At 44.3% G+C, this 14883-nt stretch overlaps 1 long non-coding RNA gene and 1 pseudogene across 2 annotated transcripts in view, besides 1 other annotated feature; one reads left to right on the forward strand and one right to left on the reverse strand.

Moving 5' to 3' along the window:
* The window catches only part of EPHA1-AS1 (EPHA1 antisense RNA 1), a 115637-nt gene that overhangs the window by 90625 nt on the left and 10129 nt on the right, over positions 1-14883 (forward strand). Inside the window, exon 3 of the long non-coding RNA NR_033897.1 lies at positions 6337-6393. This is a non-coding gene — a long non-coding RNA (EPHA1 antisense RNA 1). The remainder of the gene's footprint in view (positions 1-6336; positions 6394-14883) is intronic.
* Positions 6017-6477: a silencer, noted in NCBI's record as "fragment chr7:143201547-143202007 (GRCh37/hg19 assembly coordinates)". NCBI's record gives its function as "represses an EF-1alpha promoter that drives an FKBP-Casp9 reporter gene in an ReSE screen in K562 erythroleukemia cells {active_cell/tissue: K562}" and the evidence as "EXISTENCE:reporter gene assay evidence [ECO:0000049][PMID:32094911]".
* On the reverse strand, positions 12430-13574 carry OR10AC1 (olfactory receptor family 10 subfamily AC member 1 (gene/pseudogene); annotated as a pseudogene). Its single transcript, NR_145518.1, has one exon. The product of NR_145518.1 is annotated as an olfactory receptor family 10 subfamily AC member 1 (gene/pseudogene), transcript variant 1, non-coding (transcript).

The following is a 14883-nucleotide window of genomic DNA, read 5'->3' on the forward strand; positions in this document are numbered from 1 at the left end:
GTTGGGACTACAGGCACCCGCCACCATGCCTGGATAATTTGTGTATATTTGGTAGAGATGGGGTTTCATCATGTTGGCCATGCTGGTCTTGAACTCCTGACCTCAGGTGATCGGCCCACCTTGGCCTCCCAAAGTGCTAGGATTACAGGCTTGAGCCACCGCACCTGGCCGATGTGGAATATTTTTCTAAAGCAGCCTATTTGATTCTTTTTGAAAGGCCCTTCTCAGTTTCCCCAGCCTGATACGGGCTCGGCTGTAAAGATGGGACAGAATCTGTGTCATGTCTCAGGAGTGAGGAAAAGAAAATGTTATTCTGTCACATTCAGAACAGTTCTACAAGGTGGACACAGACTGGGCCAGAGGTAGACAACTGGTAAAGAGCCAGCCAAGATGAAAATTGGGATATACCCGATGTCAAATTTCAAATATTGGGCATTTTTCACTAGACCATGCTGCCTCTCACATTCCTTTCTAAAAGAAACTGGTTGCAAACGGCCAGGTGCAGTGGCTCACGCCTGTAATCCCAGCACTTTGGGAGGCCAAGGTAGGCAGATCACGAGGTCAGGAGATGGAGACCATCCTGGCTAACATGGTGAAACCCCGTCTCTATTAAAAATACAAAAAATTAGCTGGGTATGGAGGTACGAACCTGCTGTAGTCCCAGCTACTTGGGAGGCTGAGGCAGGAGAATCACTTGAAGCCGGGAGGTGGAGGTTGCAGCGACCTGAGATCATGCCACTGCACTCCAGCCTGGGAGACAGAGTGAGACTCCATCTCAAAAAAAAAAAAAAAAAAAGTGGTTGCAATGGAAGAAGGCAAAGGTCTCTTTATGCTCTGGCATTGTGGAATTCCACACAGAGGTTTGCAAAAGCAGAAGCAGTGTCTTTCTGCTGTCAAGATCTTTTCCATGACTGAATTAAGCAAAATGACGTGTCTTAATACTCAAAAGGAGCAGAGAAAAGAGTTCTGGCTGGGTGTTTCCTGCTCTTTAGATAGAGTTTGCTTCCTGGCCTTGAGTTAAGGAAGCTGACTCGTTTTTATTTCTAGAGCCTTCTGGCTCCCCTCCAGGCCTAAGCATTTGCCTCAATTTTTCCCTAACAGTTTGGACCTGGTTATAGGCTGAATAATGGCCCTGCACATGTGTCCACCTTCTGTCCTAATCTCCCAAGTCTATGACTGTTATCTTCTATGGCAAAAGGGATTTTTGCAGGGGTGATTAAGTATTTTGAGATGAGGAGATTATCCTGGGTTAGCCAGGTTTGCCCAATATAATCACAAGGGTCTTTAGAGAGAGAGGCAGGAACACCAGCATCAGATCTTTCTGCCTCCGTCTTCTCTTTAGGGCCAAGCCCATATCAAGCTGGGGAAACCGTGAAGGGCCTTTTACAAAGAATCGAACAGGCTGCTTTAGAAAACTACTCCACATGCCTTCTGTTTAATGCTCACAATCTGATTATGTTGTAGCTGCTTGGTGCTGCGGTGTGCCCTATCCTGGCTGCATTTCTTCATTCCCTCCCCTGCCCACATACATCCACAGCCCCAGTCGGCTGTATCCATGAAGAGCTGAATGGAACAGGATGACTGGCAGCCCACGCCAAAGGCCAAGAGATGTGAAGGTAGAAGCAAGAAGTTAGAATGACCTGAGGAAGAGGTCACAAGCCCAGGAATGCCAGCAGCCACTAAAAGCTGAAAAAAGGCAAGGAAATGAGTTTTCCTCTGAAGCTGCCAGAAGGAACAAGCCCAGCCAATGCCTTGACCCTAGCCCAGTAAAATTGATTTTGAACTTCCGACTTCCAGAACTGTGAGAGAATACATTTACGTTGTTTTAAGCCACAAATATGTGGCAATTTGTTACAGCAGCAATGGGAAACTAACACAGATTCTAATCTCTTTTCTTACTCCCATCCCAGGTTGCCCTGGGGTTAATTCATGATTAAAGATCCTCCAGCTTTGTTCTCTATACTTTCTCTTGTCTTCTTGAGTCTGATCTCCTTCTTGCTCTCCAAGTGCTTCCCCCACTGCACATCAACAAGAACATTTCTGCTTCTTACCTGTCTCTGTCCCCTGCTCTAACCCATGAGGAGTCAGAAGCAGTCTAGTGGGGGCCAGGCAGGGGAGGGAGGTGAGGAAGCTAGGAAGGTTAGAGAAGAGAGAAGAAGCCAACATTCCCCACTTTAAGCTTTTGGGGTTGGGAGTCAGAAGAAGCTTTATCTTAAAACAAGGTTTAGAGGTTTGATTTTACCTTGGGCTGGATATTTTTAAGACTGCAGTGAGAATGTTTTGGGGACTTAAGGCGAATGAAAACGTTTTGATTTTTTGGGAGGAACTAGAACATTCATGCTACTTGTTATGGATTTAGTCCAAGGCACAGAGAAGGACTAGCCCCATAGTGCAGGTTTGAGTGTATGGAGATGAGAAAGAACACAGCACTTTTCTGATTACAGTTTGTGAATTCAGCTTGTTCAGTAAACCAGTTCCCCTTAGTTTCTACAATAGATTTGAGATCTTGTGGTCTGGGACCTGGGAATTCCATCGTGGCTGTGATATTTTCGCAAGATTTTCAAATCTTTTTCAGTATCACATGCACTCTGTGTAGCGGAGGTTGTTTCATCTACTTAGCCCACCAAGACCCCTCTGGAGGCTGCATAGCCTGGTGGCTAAAGGTGTAGGTTCTAGACCCTGAATGTGCAAGTCTGAATCTTTGTTCCTACCTTGTGCCTTTGCAGCAATGGGCAAGTTAAAGTCTCTACTGCCTCAGTTTCTTCTGATGTAAAATGGGGAGGATGGTAATACCTGACTCACGGGCTTTTGTGAAGATCAAATGAGACGATCCATGCAGAGCACTTAGCACAGTGTCCAGTCCATGATAAGCCCTCAGTGAATAGTAGATATTTTTATGTTGAAATGCTTTGAAGAGTTTAGAAGAAAGGTGCCAGTCAAGCCAATGCTAGAAACAGAGATTAATTTTTATTTCCTCACACATTTACTTCTATCCTGCTGTGCCTTGTAAACTGAACATTTTCATATTTTTCTCCTTCGCAAAATACAAACTGTTCCAACAGTTCTCTGCCTCAAACCTGAAGTGTTTTATGCCATCCTTGGTAGGTTGTGAGAGATATTTTGGAAGCACCTTTTTAGAAGCTCTGTTAATTGAAACTATTCCTCAAGCTTTGCAATAAATGCAGAAAGTTTCAGTGCTCCCTCACATCCTGGAAGCTGACTGTAGCCTGTAGAGGGCTACTGGGTTAAGCCCTCTACAAAGGTGACGATAGAGTCCAGTTCAGGAAGCCATCTTCTGGCCAGGTAGGGTGGACATGGGCACACTGGAGCCAGAGGGAGGTCAAAAGAGGGTAGTGAGTGTAGGGGCCAGAAATGATTATCCAAGAGTAAATTGAGGTCCAGAAGCTGTTCAGAGGCACAGGAGCCCTTTTTCATCTTGTCTTTGTTCCTGTTGATAGTGAATATACAGCAGCTGTCTTGAAGATGGAGAAGGAAAGTGAGGGGTGCTGACTGAGAAACTGCCTTACAGACCTCCTTCCTCTCTCCATCTACCTCTAAGTCAAATGAAAAGGAATCCAGTGAAATTCTCCCAGCTCCCTTAATAAAGATGACTCTCCAGCTCTCATCTTGCTAGGAGAATGTTCCACTTCTTTTTCCACAAATAAAAATAATTTATGTTTGTACAGTGCTTAATTTCAAGAAATTTCATAGATATTATTTCATTTGAGGAAGGAGAGAATTGGGGCTGGGTTAGGCCACACAAGCCTGGCTCAATGTCAAGTATTTCCTAAATGGAGACAGAGGTCTGACTCTAAGCTTTATATATGACACTGGTTAGATTTTAGAGTTTTTTAGTTTTTTGAGTTGTGGTGGGAGAAGCACTATAATCATTATTAATATAGCCACCATGAAACATAGATTTAAAATTCTGCTCTGCTAGTTTGAGGTAGCATTAAGATCAGTAGAATGATTTTGAAGGTTTCTGCTTATCAAAGAAATGTTTAAAGAAGAAGAAGTGTGGGTGTGGTGGCTCACACCTGTAATCCCAGCACTTTGGGAGGCTGAGGCGGGTGTATCACCTGAGGTCAGGAGTTTGAGACCAGCCTGGCCAACGTGGTGAAATCCCCTCTCTACTAAAAGTACAAACATTAGCCAGGTGTGGTGGCACACACCTGTAGTCCTAGCTGATTGGGAGCCTGAGGCAGGAGGATCACTTGAACCCAAGAGGCAGAGTTTGCAGTGAGCTGAGATCACACCACTGTACCCGAGCCTGGTTGACAGAGTGAGACTCCATCTAAAAAAAAAAAGAAAAGAAAATATCTATTTCAAACATCTTTAACAAACAATTTTAAGGTATCTAGGCTGTCTAAACATTTATTCTAAAGTTCTCTCTACGAAAAACAATCTAGACTTTATAAAAGATTAGTAAATCTAACCTATTATAAAAATAGTTAAGTTTATAATACCAAGTTAAATTTTTTAGGATCTATATGTGCTTTTTATGATTGGGACACTTGCATTAAGAATAGTACTGCTTATACAGATTTTATTAAAGAATTAGACTTATTTCACTACTTTATTTCAAAGATTGATAATACTTTTATTTTGGTGTATTTTTGGCCATATAGAGGATTAATTTAATGGTAAGTTTTAGTCAGAAAACCAACCTTCTATCATATTGTCCTTATAGGAAAATACAATGAACGATATCATGTTGTACTCTTTGATAACATAGTTTTCTAGGAATATTCTGGGTAAAATGGTTTAAATAATTTGGGAGTAAATTTCTTTTGCTGAAGCTTTTAATTTCAACTACTCATGCAGCAAAATATTTTGCCAAAGTCCAATGACTTTCAAGTTTAATAGTGGCATTAGGTAAAGCTGAAAATAGGCCTATATTTTGTGAACATAATCACATTATGACTGAACCTCCTTAGACTTCCTTCCCTAGCCTTGTGGCCAGGATATAATTGCATCCGTCATGGGCCATAAGTCCCAGTGCAATGACGGGTAATTGATTTTGATGTGGAGGTTGAGGGGTGAGAGAGGGAGGGCTCCTCCCACACCACATTGCAAGCCTTCCTAAAAATCACCCAGACATCTTTGATGTCCTGAAATCCCTTTCCCCATTACAGCTGACTCCTTCCCAGTAACTCAGGCTTCCTCACTTAGATGCCTATGCATGATTCTGCTCCTGGACAGGGTCATGTGTTGAGGCAGGCATCTTATGGAGAGAAGGATGTGATGGAGCACTGAGCTTCTCAGGGCTGAGGGTCTGGTATCTGACTCCCCAACATCATATATTGTTGGTCACTAGCAGCGGAACTGTGGCGTCTTCACTAGAGCAGTCCCTCTATATGCTGTGCCTTGGTTCCTGGCTTCATCTTTGCCCAACTCTATTGTCCTCCTACAGATTCTGTGGGTCTTTCCCTAATAAATGATTTTTTCTGTTTAAATAACTCTGAAGGGATGTAAGTTTTAAAAAAGCCACCAAAATTCTCATTGACCCTGTTAACTTCAACTTTACTTCTAAGCCAGTTCTTAGCCTTTCCAAGTACTTTACTAGTCTTCCCATCTCAGAATTTCCCAATGTACAGGAAAGAGAGCCAGAGGGCAGTTCAGCAAAACAAAATCACAGCCACCTCGGGATCCCCAATTTGTCCAGGGACAACAACAGTAGCAAAGATACGAGGTCTTGGAGAGAAACCCTCCCAGAACCCACACAAGCAGAGGTGGAAAAGGTAGACTGGAAACCTGGTTTCTTCTTTTCCTGCTGTTCCAACCAGCAAGCCCCTTGCCCAGGCCCTACCAAATATATACCCATTTTTCTTCCAAGGTGTGTCCTTTCAAGGTATGGGGCCTGCAGTATAAAGCTAGTGATTTTCTTTGCTTAGAACAGCTCTGGGACTTCTGCACTGATTCTGCCTACCGGAAAACATCTGCTATTAATAATGCCCTACTAATAGTAGCTAACAGTGCCAGGCACTGTTCTAAGCATATTTCCTATATTAGCTGTGATTATCACAACCCTGTGAGGCAGGTGCTAATGTCAACTCCAGCTTATCCACTGAAGACTCAGAGGCCCAGAGAGGTTAGAGGAACTTGTCCAAGGTCACAGTCAGGAACTTCAGGGGTCAGAATCCAGATCCAGGTAGCCTGGCTCAATGCCCCTGTGCTACGGCACTGCCACTTTTCTCTCCGAGGCCCAGCCCTGCCTCTACAGGTGCTGTGCTCCAGCAACGTTCAGGTGAGGCACTTTACTTTTCCCTTTGTGATGTGTGCTTTAATGATAATGAGACAAGATGGATTAAATTCACTTTCATGATTGTTTCCCAGAAGGCAGCAACTGCTTTCGGGAGCAGCTGAAGGCTGGAGATAACATGGACCTCCATGGTGAGTCAGTAAGACCCATCAATCAGGCACAGCCAGGGGAGGAGGCAGACACTGCAGGGAAGATGGCCACCAGGAGCAGCTGAGGGATCCAACTGCTGGATTAAGGGAGATTGTGTGGTTAGGAGGCCTCCCCTCCCATTGTAAGATGAAGGAGGTACATTTGTCCATTGTCAGGAGGATCATAGAAAATCTTAATCTCCACTATGTGGGACTGGTACTTCAGAAGCTCCAGGCAAAGACTTAAGTCATTAATAGGCTTAATATAAAGGCTTAGCTGTTACCTACAACTCAAATATCTTGGAGAAATGTTGCCCCCCAAAGGGCTACACAAATATTACTTCTCTAAGTGAGCCTCAGCTTAGATGTGGGAAATGGTCTTATATGCAGAGAAATTTCATTAAATTTTAATAAGTATTTTTCCACATTTACTTCACCTTTTCTTTTTTCCTTCTGGATAGTGGTGTTCTAGTTCCCTCCCTACAGCCCCCTTTTAACTGTCCACTTGTCCAGTTACCCACCTTCTGTAGGAAGTATTCATTGACTGGGAACTGCAAACTCGGTGATCTAGCCACTTCCCCTCAGTTGAAAGTTGCTATGTCAAGAAAAAGAACCTGTGCAATTAGAATAATTGGAACTTTCCTACCTTAAAGATGTTCATATACCTGGGTTCTAAGCATGGGAGATAGTAGTGGTAAATAATGTATGAGCTCTCTGAGGAGGTAGGTGAAGATGAGATCTGGAACTCAAGGAGGGTTAAATTTAAGCAGAAGCAGGGTAGCCTCTTCCACTGTGAAGGACTGGAGTAATGATTAGAGGGCGGTGACTGTCAACCTTGACTACACCTTAGAATCACCTAAAGGGAGTTGTTGAAAACCCCAATGCCTGACTTACACCAAGACCAAGTGATATAATTAGGCTTTGTGTCCCCACCCAAATCTCATCTTGAATTGTAATCCCCCAAATCCGCATAATCTCTCCAAGGGAGGGACCAGATGGAGATAATTGAACCATGGGGGTGGTTTCCCCCATGCTGTTCTCGTGATAGTGAGTGTGTTCTCCCAAGATCTGATGGTTTTATAAGGGGCTCTTTCCTCTTCTCTTGGCACTTCTTCCTGCCACCTTATGAAGAAGATGCCTGCTGCTTCCCCTTCACCTTCCACCATGATTGCACATTTCCTGAGGCCTCTCCACCCACGCTGGACTGTGAGTCAAATAAACCTCTTTTTTTTTTTTTTTTTTTTTGCAAATTACCCAGTCTTGGGCAGCTCTTTATAGCAGTATGAAAATGGAATAATACACTAAGCAAATCAGAATCTCTGGTGTCAGGCTCAGACTTCAGTAGTTTTAAAGGTCTTTGGGTGATTCCAGTATGCAGCCAAGGAAGGAGCCCACTGATATAGCAGTATAGCAGGGCAGCAGAGGATGAGGCCCGTCTGAGTTTGGATCCTACAGAATTATAGTGGCCCTGTTATAGAGTAATGAGATTTGTCTTCAGAAGTATTGAGCACTCACAGATTTGTATTAGAGATGTCAGAAAATCGGATTGAGGTTTGTAAATTGGGTGTGTAGAACACAGACAATGGAGTTGAGAGTGTTGGCTCAAATAATTAAACATTAGTCTGAGAGATCTTGATTTTGAAAGAAAGTGAAGGAGCTTCATTTAGGTGGCACACAGGTGGAGAGAACATCTGGGCCAAAGGATTGAAGCTGTTGATGAAGGTGACAAGGGATGGTCTCAGAGCAAATAAATGAGAGCTGGGAAGTAAGAGGCTGTGGTGAAGAGAGGATTTGGTGAGGCATTGTTTTCAGACCCATGATGGGATTTGTTATAGAAAGACAGCTCGAATTAATGATGGTCCAGTTGAAGGGTTACAGAAAAAATTTATTCCATGCACACTGTCTTACATATCATTTTGGGACTGTGTGTATTGATTATGTTTTTTATTTTCTATGTTTTATGATGCTTCAACATCTTGGAGGCCTTGTTGGCTGGGAGAGACTGCTCCTGTCAGTGCTAACTAGTTCCTAGGTATGCAAACATCTTTAAGAAGGGAAAGTTCCCATTGTTTTAACTGCATAGATTCTGTCCCTATGAAGTGGCAACTTTCAGCTGAAGGGAAGTGGCTAGATCACCAAGAGTTTGCAGTTCCTGGTAAATGAATACTTTCCCAGGCTTTGGGATAACTGGACAAGTGGGAATTTAGAAGAAGGGGCAAATGTGTCCCCTGTGAGAATGTCATTAAGATGCAAACCAACCAATCCAGAGCTCATATACTCAGTCACCTCCTTTATCTAACTCTCACATGCCAAGTCAACATTTTCCCCACCCTAATCACCCCAGGGTGAGGTCTTGGACTACTAGATACCACGCATGTCATCCAGAGCCTGCTGAAATTATTCAAACTATCCTATCTTAGACTTCCTTAAGTTTTCTACTCCACTCACTCATTTCTTCCCATAGAAACCACAATCAAGTCTCTCGGGCATGGTCTTCCCTTTCTTTTTCTGTCTCCTGACAGAAAGAGACAGTATGCCTCTCCACGTGGCCCTGCATGACACAGCTTGCCTCCCCCTCTTAGGAACTGTGAGTAATAAACTGTTCTTTCAAAGGCAGCTGTTTCTGTGTCTGTCACTTTACCCTACCTGATTAAAACAAATCTGGGTACAAATCTTGAAACAGTGTTAAATATTTCAGCATTTAAAATGAAAGACAATGTTATTTCCCATTCCAGCAGTTGATTACACAGATTTGAATGGCTTCTCTGTGTTCTTTTAACCCTGGATGGAGTGTGGCAGTCATTATATGATCTCTGGCTAGACAGCATTTCTGTATGTGTGTTTTGTTGTTTGGTCAGTAGACCTTTGCACATGCACCGCTGAGGTTTGTACAGGTGAATTCAGTACTTTCTGGGTTGGAGTAGGCATCTTAAAAGCCATCTTTGGCTCCAGTCATACTATTCTAGAAATCGCAGTATCATTTTGGCACTGTTGATTACTCCATCCTTGAAATTCCCTTTCTTGGTTTCCATGACACCACAATATGTTTGATTTTCTTCTACTTCTCTGATTGCTCTTTTAAAAAAAACTCCGTTGGGTATTCCCCTTCCTCTGCCTATCCTGTATTTTTATTTGAAAAGCATTTATTGAATAACTGACACATACATGTATGTAAGGAAGGTATTCGATGAAAAACGTAGGTTTATCCCACCTCTATTCCCCAGTCTCCAAACTTTTACTTTGGCAGAAATATGTGTGTCTTTATCTGCGTGTATACATGCACACGTAGAGAACACATAGGAAATATACAGACACATACATGCACATACAATTATATAAGTGTGTGTATATATATATATGTGTATATATGTGTGTGTATATATATGTGTATATATATGTGTGTGTATGTATGTGTGTATATATATATATATATATTTGTTTGAGATGGAGTTTCGCTCTTGTTGCCCAGGCTGGAGTGCAACGGTGCAATCTCTGCTCACCGCAACCTCCACCTCCTGGGTTCAAGCGATTATCGTGCCTCAGCCTCCCAAGTAGCTAGGATTACAGGCATGTGTCACCACACCTGACTAATTTTGTATTTTTAGTAGAGATGGGGTTTCTCCATGTTGGTGAGGCTGGTCTTGAACTCCCGACCTCAGGTGATTGGCCTGCCGTGGCCTCCCAAAGTGCTGGGATTACAGGCATGAGCCACTGCACCCAGCTACAATTAAATATTTTTGCTCATAAATGCTAGCATACCATAAACCTTGATTTATTTACTCATTCATTCAACAATTTTTTAAGACTCTATTCCATGCCAGACACTGATAGGAACTGGGAATACCATGGTGAGTGAAGCAGATGGCCTTTCACAGAGTTTATGTTGGAAGGAATGGGCAATTAGCAGTAGAAATGCAAGTAAGATGATTTCCAGTAATGACAGATGATTAGACATTAAAGCATGATAATGTGAGAGGGGGTGGAGAGGCAACATTACATGGGGTGTTCAACGAAGGCCTCTTTGAGGAGTCAATATTTGAGTTGAGACAGCATCTGAATGACAAAAAGCCAGATTGGGAAGATCTATGGGAAGAGCATTCCAGGAGTGGAAATAACAAGGGAAAATGTGAGATGTGCCAGAAGACAAGAGTAGAATGAGGGATGACTCCTTAATACACATAATCACATGCTTTGCTTTTTTCATTTAACAACTTTTATGAGACCTGGTTCCACACCTGCCATAGATAAAACTGTTTCATTCTTCTCAGCAGCTGCATAGAATTCCATCACAGGGATAAACCAAAATGCATTTAATTGGTCACATATTGATTGATATTTAAGAAATTACTAGATTTTTGATAATCCAAGTAACGCTGACATGAATATTTTTGAACATTCATATTTTCCCACAAAGCAAATAAATTTGTAGGGTCAAACCCTGGAAGTACATTGAAACAAATAATACATGCCATTTATTTTAATTAATATCATCCACTTTCCCTGTATAGAAATTGTATACATTTATACTCTCATTAATAACATACAAGAGAGCCTGTTTCACCTTCCTGCTCTGTGTTAGTCATCTTTCAGTGTTGTTAATTTGACAACTTTATAATTTTATTTTGCTTTCTCTTATGAATGAGATTGAAACCTTTCCGCTGTGTAAGGGCTATTTACATTTCCTTTTCTACAAACAGTCTATTCATAACTTTGCCCATTTTTTGGAGTTATCTTTTTCTTATTAATCGTTAAGAGCTCTATATGTATTAATGAAATGAGCCTCTTTCATTCATTACATGTGAATTTCCAAGTTTCTCTTTTCTCTTTTTGGTTTGCTTAAAGCGGCATCCCATGGAGAAAGCTTTGGGTTATTTTTTACATAATAAATTTCATGTTTTGTGTTATGCTTAGAAAGTCAGTTCATTTTTTTAATGTTAATGCTCCTTGTCTTATCTTGAAGCTGCTCTTCTAACTGCACTTGCTCATTCTGGGAGATCTCGGCCATGCAAATCTCAGATATGCTGGTGACTTCTACCAGCTATGCCAGTTTTTAACATGCTGGTGACTTCTACCAGCCATGCCAATCTCTAACATGCTGGTGAATTCTATCAGCCATGCCAGTCTCTAACATCGGCATTTCTCTACCCAGATTCTCCTGACGCACATCACATAGACTGCTGAGTGTGCTACCCCTTGTCAACATAATCAACAGTGAACTCATCAACTCCACCTTGTCCTTCCCTCACACTGGTTGCTTTCCTTGTGCTCTCCATCTCAGTGAGCCCAATATATCATCTTTTCCAGGACAGAAACCTATCTGTCATCCCTTACAAGGCTTGCAAGACCTGGTTTCTATTTGTTCCTCTAGCACAACCTCTTAATATTTGCAACACACACAGCATCTCTCCCACCCACCTCATCACTACCAATAATTTGCATAGGTGCTAGGAATACAGTGGCATCTTGATCACTGTTGAATTCTTAACTGTCTAGTTCTTGGCATGGAATTCAATCAACAAGTATTTATTGCAAATATGGATGAATAAATAAATTCTGGAATTTTCCTAGTATAACTTACATTTGTACTTAAGTTTTGTGCCAATTTGTGCTCTTTGACATACTCGCATATGTTAGTGTAACATTGTTTAGAAACAGTTATGTCAAGTGAATTTATTTGCTCATTAATTTTTACAAGACAGTGCGGATTATTATTCTTCCTCTTAATGTCTCTTTACTTTATCAATGACAGTAAGGTTTCCTTCAAGCTACTGGGGGATTAAAATGCTTTGTGTAATGCTACTCTCTTTTTTGGAGGGAGGGGAAGTTTCACTCTTGTTGCCCAGGCTGGAGTGTGCAGTGGCACAATCTCGGCTCACTGCAACCTCTGTCTCTTGGGTTCAAGGGATTCTCGTGCCTCAGCCTCCCGAATAGCTGTGATCCCAGCTATTCAAGGGAAGAGTGGAGGATGGGGCAACCTCTGGGAGGCTTTCTCTTTCCTGGATGCAGTCCTTGAGTCCCCTTGTTGGCTTTCCCCATGCAGACCCCTCATGATGGGGAAAACTCTACGGAGCGGAGCGGCCCCCTCTGCCTGGTACGGGCCTGCCATCAGAGCTCGCGCAGATCCCCGCCTGGAGCTTGGCCTGGCCGCCGGCGCCCCAGCACCCTGCTCAGGGCGGCGGTGATCTCGCGGTTGCGCAGGCTGTAGATGAGTGGGCACAGCAGCGGCGTGACGTTGGTGTAGACCAGCGCCAGGGTGCGGTCCAGGCGCGGGGAGTAGCTGGCCCTGGGCCGCACGTACATGAAGGTGGCGCAGCCGTAGTGCAGGAAGGTGACTGCCAGGTGCAAGGCGCAGGTGGAGGCGGCCTTGCCCCGGCCTTTGGGGCAGCGCAGGCGGCGCAGGGCGGCGGCGATGGCGCCATAGGAGGCCAGGATGAGCACCGAGGGCAGCAGCAGCAGCACCAGGCAGGCGCCCAGCAGAGGCAGCTCGTCGGCGTAGCTCCGCGTGCAGGCCAGGTGCAGCAGCGCCGTGATGTCGCAGAAGAAGTGCAGCAGCAGGCGGGAGCCGCAGAAAGGCAGGTGGAAGATGGCCACCGTGAGCCCCACGGACACCGCCAGTCCCCTGAGGCAGCAGGCCAGAGCCAGTCGCGCGCACAGCCCGGGGGTCACCACGGCCGCGTAGCGCAACGGGTGGCAGATGGCCACGTAGCGGTCATAGGCCATGGCGGCCAGCAGGAAGCACTCGGCCCCGCCCAGAGCCACAAACATCTGCATCTGAAAGGCGCAGCTCAGGAAGGAGATAGGGCTGCCCCTGCGGTGGCCCCGGCGTGCTCAGGTCGACCAGGGAGCGGGGCACCACCACCAGCGTGTAGCACAGCTCGATGGCTGACAGCTGGCACAGGAAGAGCAGCATGGGCTGCCGGCTTGGCATCGAGGCCACGGCCACCAGGATGAGCAGGTTCCCGCCCAGGGTGGCCAGGTGCACCCCCAGCAGCAAAAGGAAGAGCACGGGTCTCAGGTGCGGGAATTCGGAGAAGCCTTGAAGGAGAAAGCCACAGGGCACGGTGGCATTGCTGGGACTGTCCATGCACGAGCCCGCCCACAGGCACCTGTAGAAGAGAGGCACAGGAGGGCAGAGCTTGTCGGGTACGCATGCTCTGGCCCTGCGCGTGGAGGAGGAGTCGGGTGGAAGGTAGAGGCTGGACCAGGAATGGTGGCTGCAGAGAGGTCGCAACAGTTCATGGGTCCATTCCCAGCCCACCACCCCCAGTCCTCCTCACAAGGAAGTCTTACTGACTTGTTCAGAAAAAGAGTGCAGTTTTTGCTGCCTCCTGGACAAGAATTCCTATAGCTGCCCTCTCAACGTGCTCTTTCAAAAGAAGCCTGGGTTTTAGCTCATGTGCCTCTATAGTCCAGTTATTATTTTGTGGGTCCTATAGGGCTGTGAGTATAGTGTCTGCTGCAGTCTTGAGACCACCATGGCAGGAAATGTCTTTAGTTCCCGCTTCTGTCTTCTCCTGCCTGCCCTGTTCTGTCATTTCTAAGTTGCCTTCTGTGATGTATCACAGAATCACAAAAACACAATGCAGGTGAGGGCCTTAGGGATCATCTCATGTAACTTCCTAATTTTAAGGAGGAAAATAAAGTTCAGGTTGGAGGGAAAGGGGATTGTTGAAGGACGTATTGCTCACAGGAAGTTAGGAACGGAATCTGCATTCTGAGGCTGAATCCAAAACTTTCTATGACCCAGGTCCTGAAAAAAGGTCACTCAGGTCAAGATAATCCACATTTGTTTAGTTTTAAGTAGACACCCAGATCTGTGCCAGGCTCTGGGGCAGGCACTAAAGCAGCAGAACATGCTTTGTGGGAGGGCTTCCCTGGGTGCATCAGGAACAATATGTCCCTAACATTTTTATTAATGCTTTGTCAACGTGAGAAAAGGGACGTGTATTTGTTCTAACTTGACTTTTAGTTAGCAGTACATTCCAAATTTGCCATCAGAACACAGTTTCGTTCTAAGCATTATACGGTGACTCATTTGCAAGTAACATTTGGAAAACAGTGACAGTGTGCAGGTCAGCTGCATTTCTCATAATCCTTTGGGATGGAAGAACCAGGAGGTGGAAAGAGATTTGAGGTCATGCAAGCTGGAGGAGGAGGTTTAATTTTTCCAATCGATATTAATGAGCTCTCTCTTTTATTAATTTTTAATTTTAAATGTAAGCTCAACTATTTGCTCTTAAAATCACTGTTAATCAATGTTGGAAGTGGAATTTCTTCATAGTTGTTATATCCTAGAGTAAAAGAGCAATAAACCTGGGTCAAAGGGCAACAGGAAAATCAGATGAAAGAACTGGAAGGAATGCAAAGAGTTGGGCTTTTGCTAATACTTTTTTTTTTTTTTTTTTTTTTGAGACAAGGTCTCAGACTGCTGCCCAGTCTGGAGTGCAATGGCACCATGATGGCTCACTGCAGCTTCGAACCCCCCAGCTAAAG

Source organism: Homo sapiens, chromosome 7 (assembly GCF_000001405.40).
Source record: "Homo sapiens chromosome 7, GRCh38.p14 Primary Assembly".
Taxonomy (NCBI): Eukaryota; Metazoa; Chordata; class Mammalia; order Primates; family Hominidae; genus Homo; species Homo sapiens.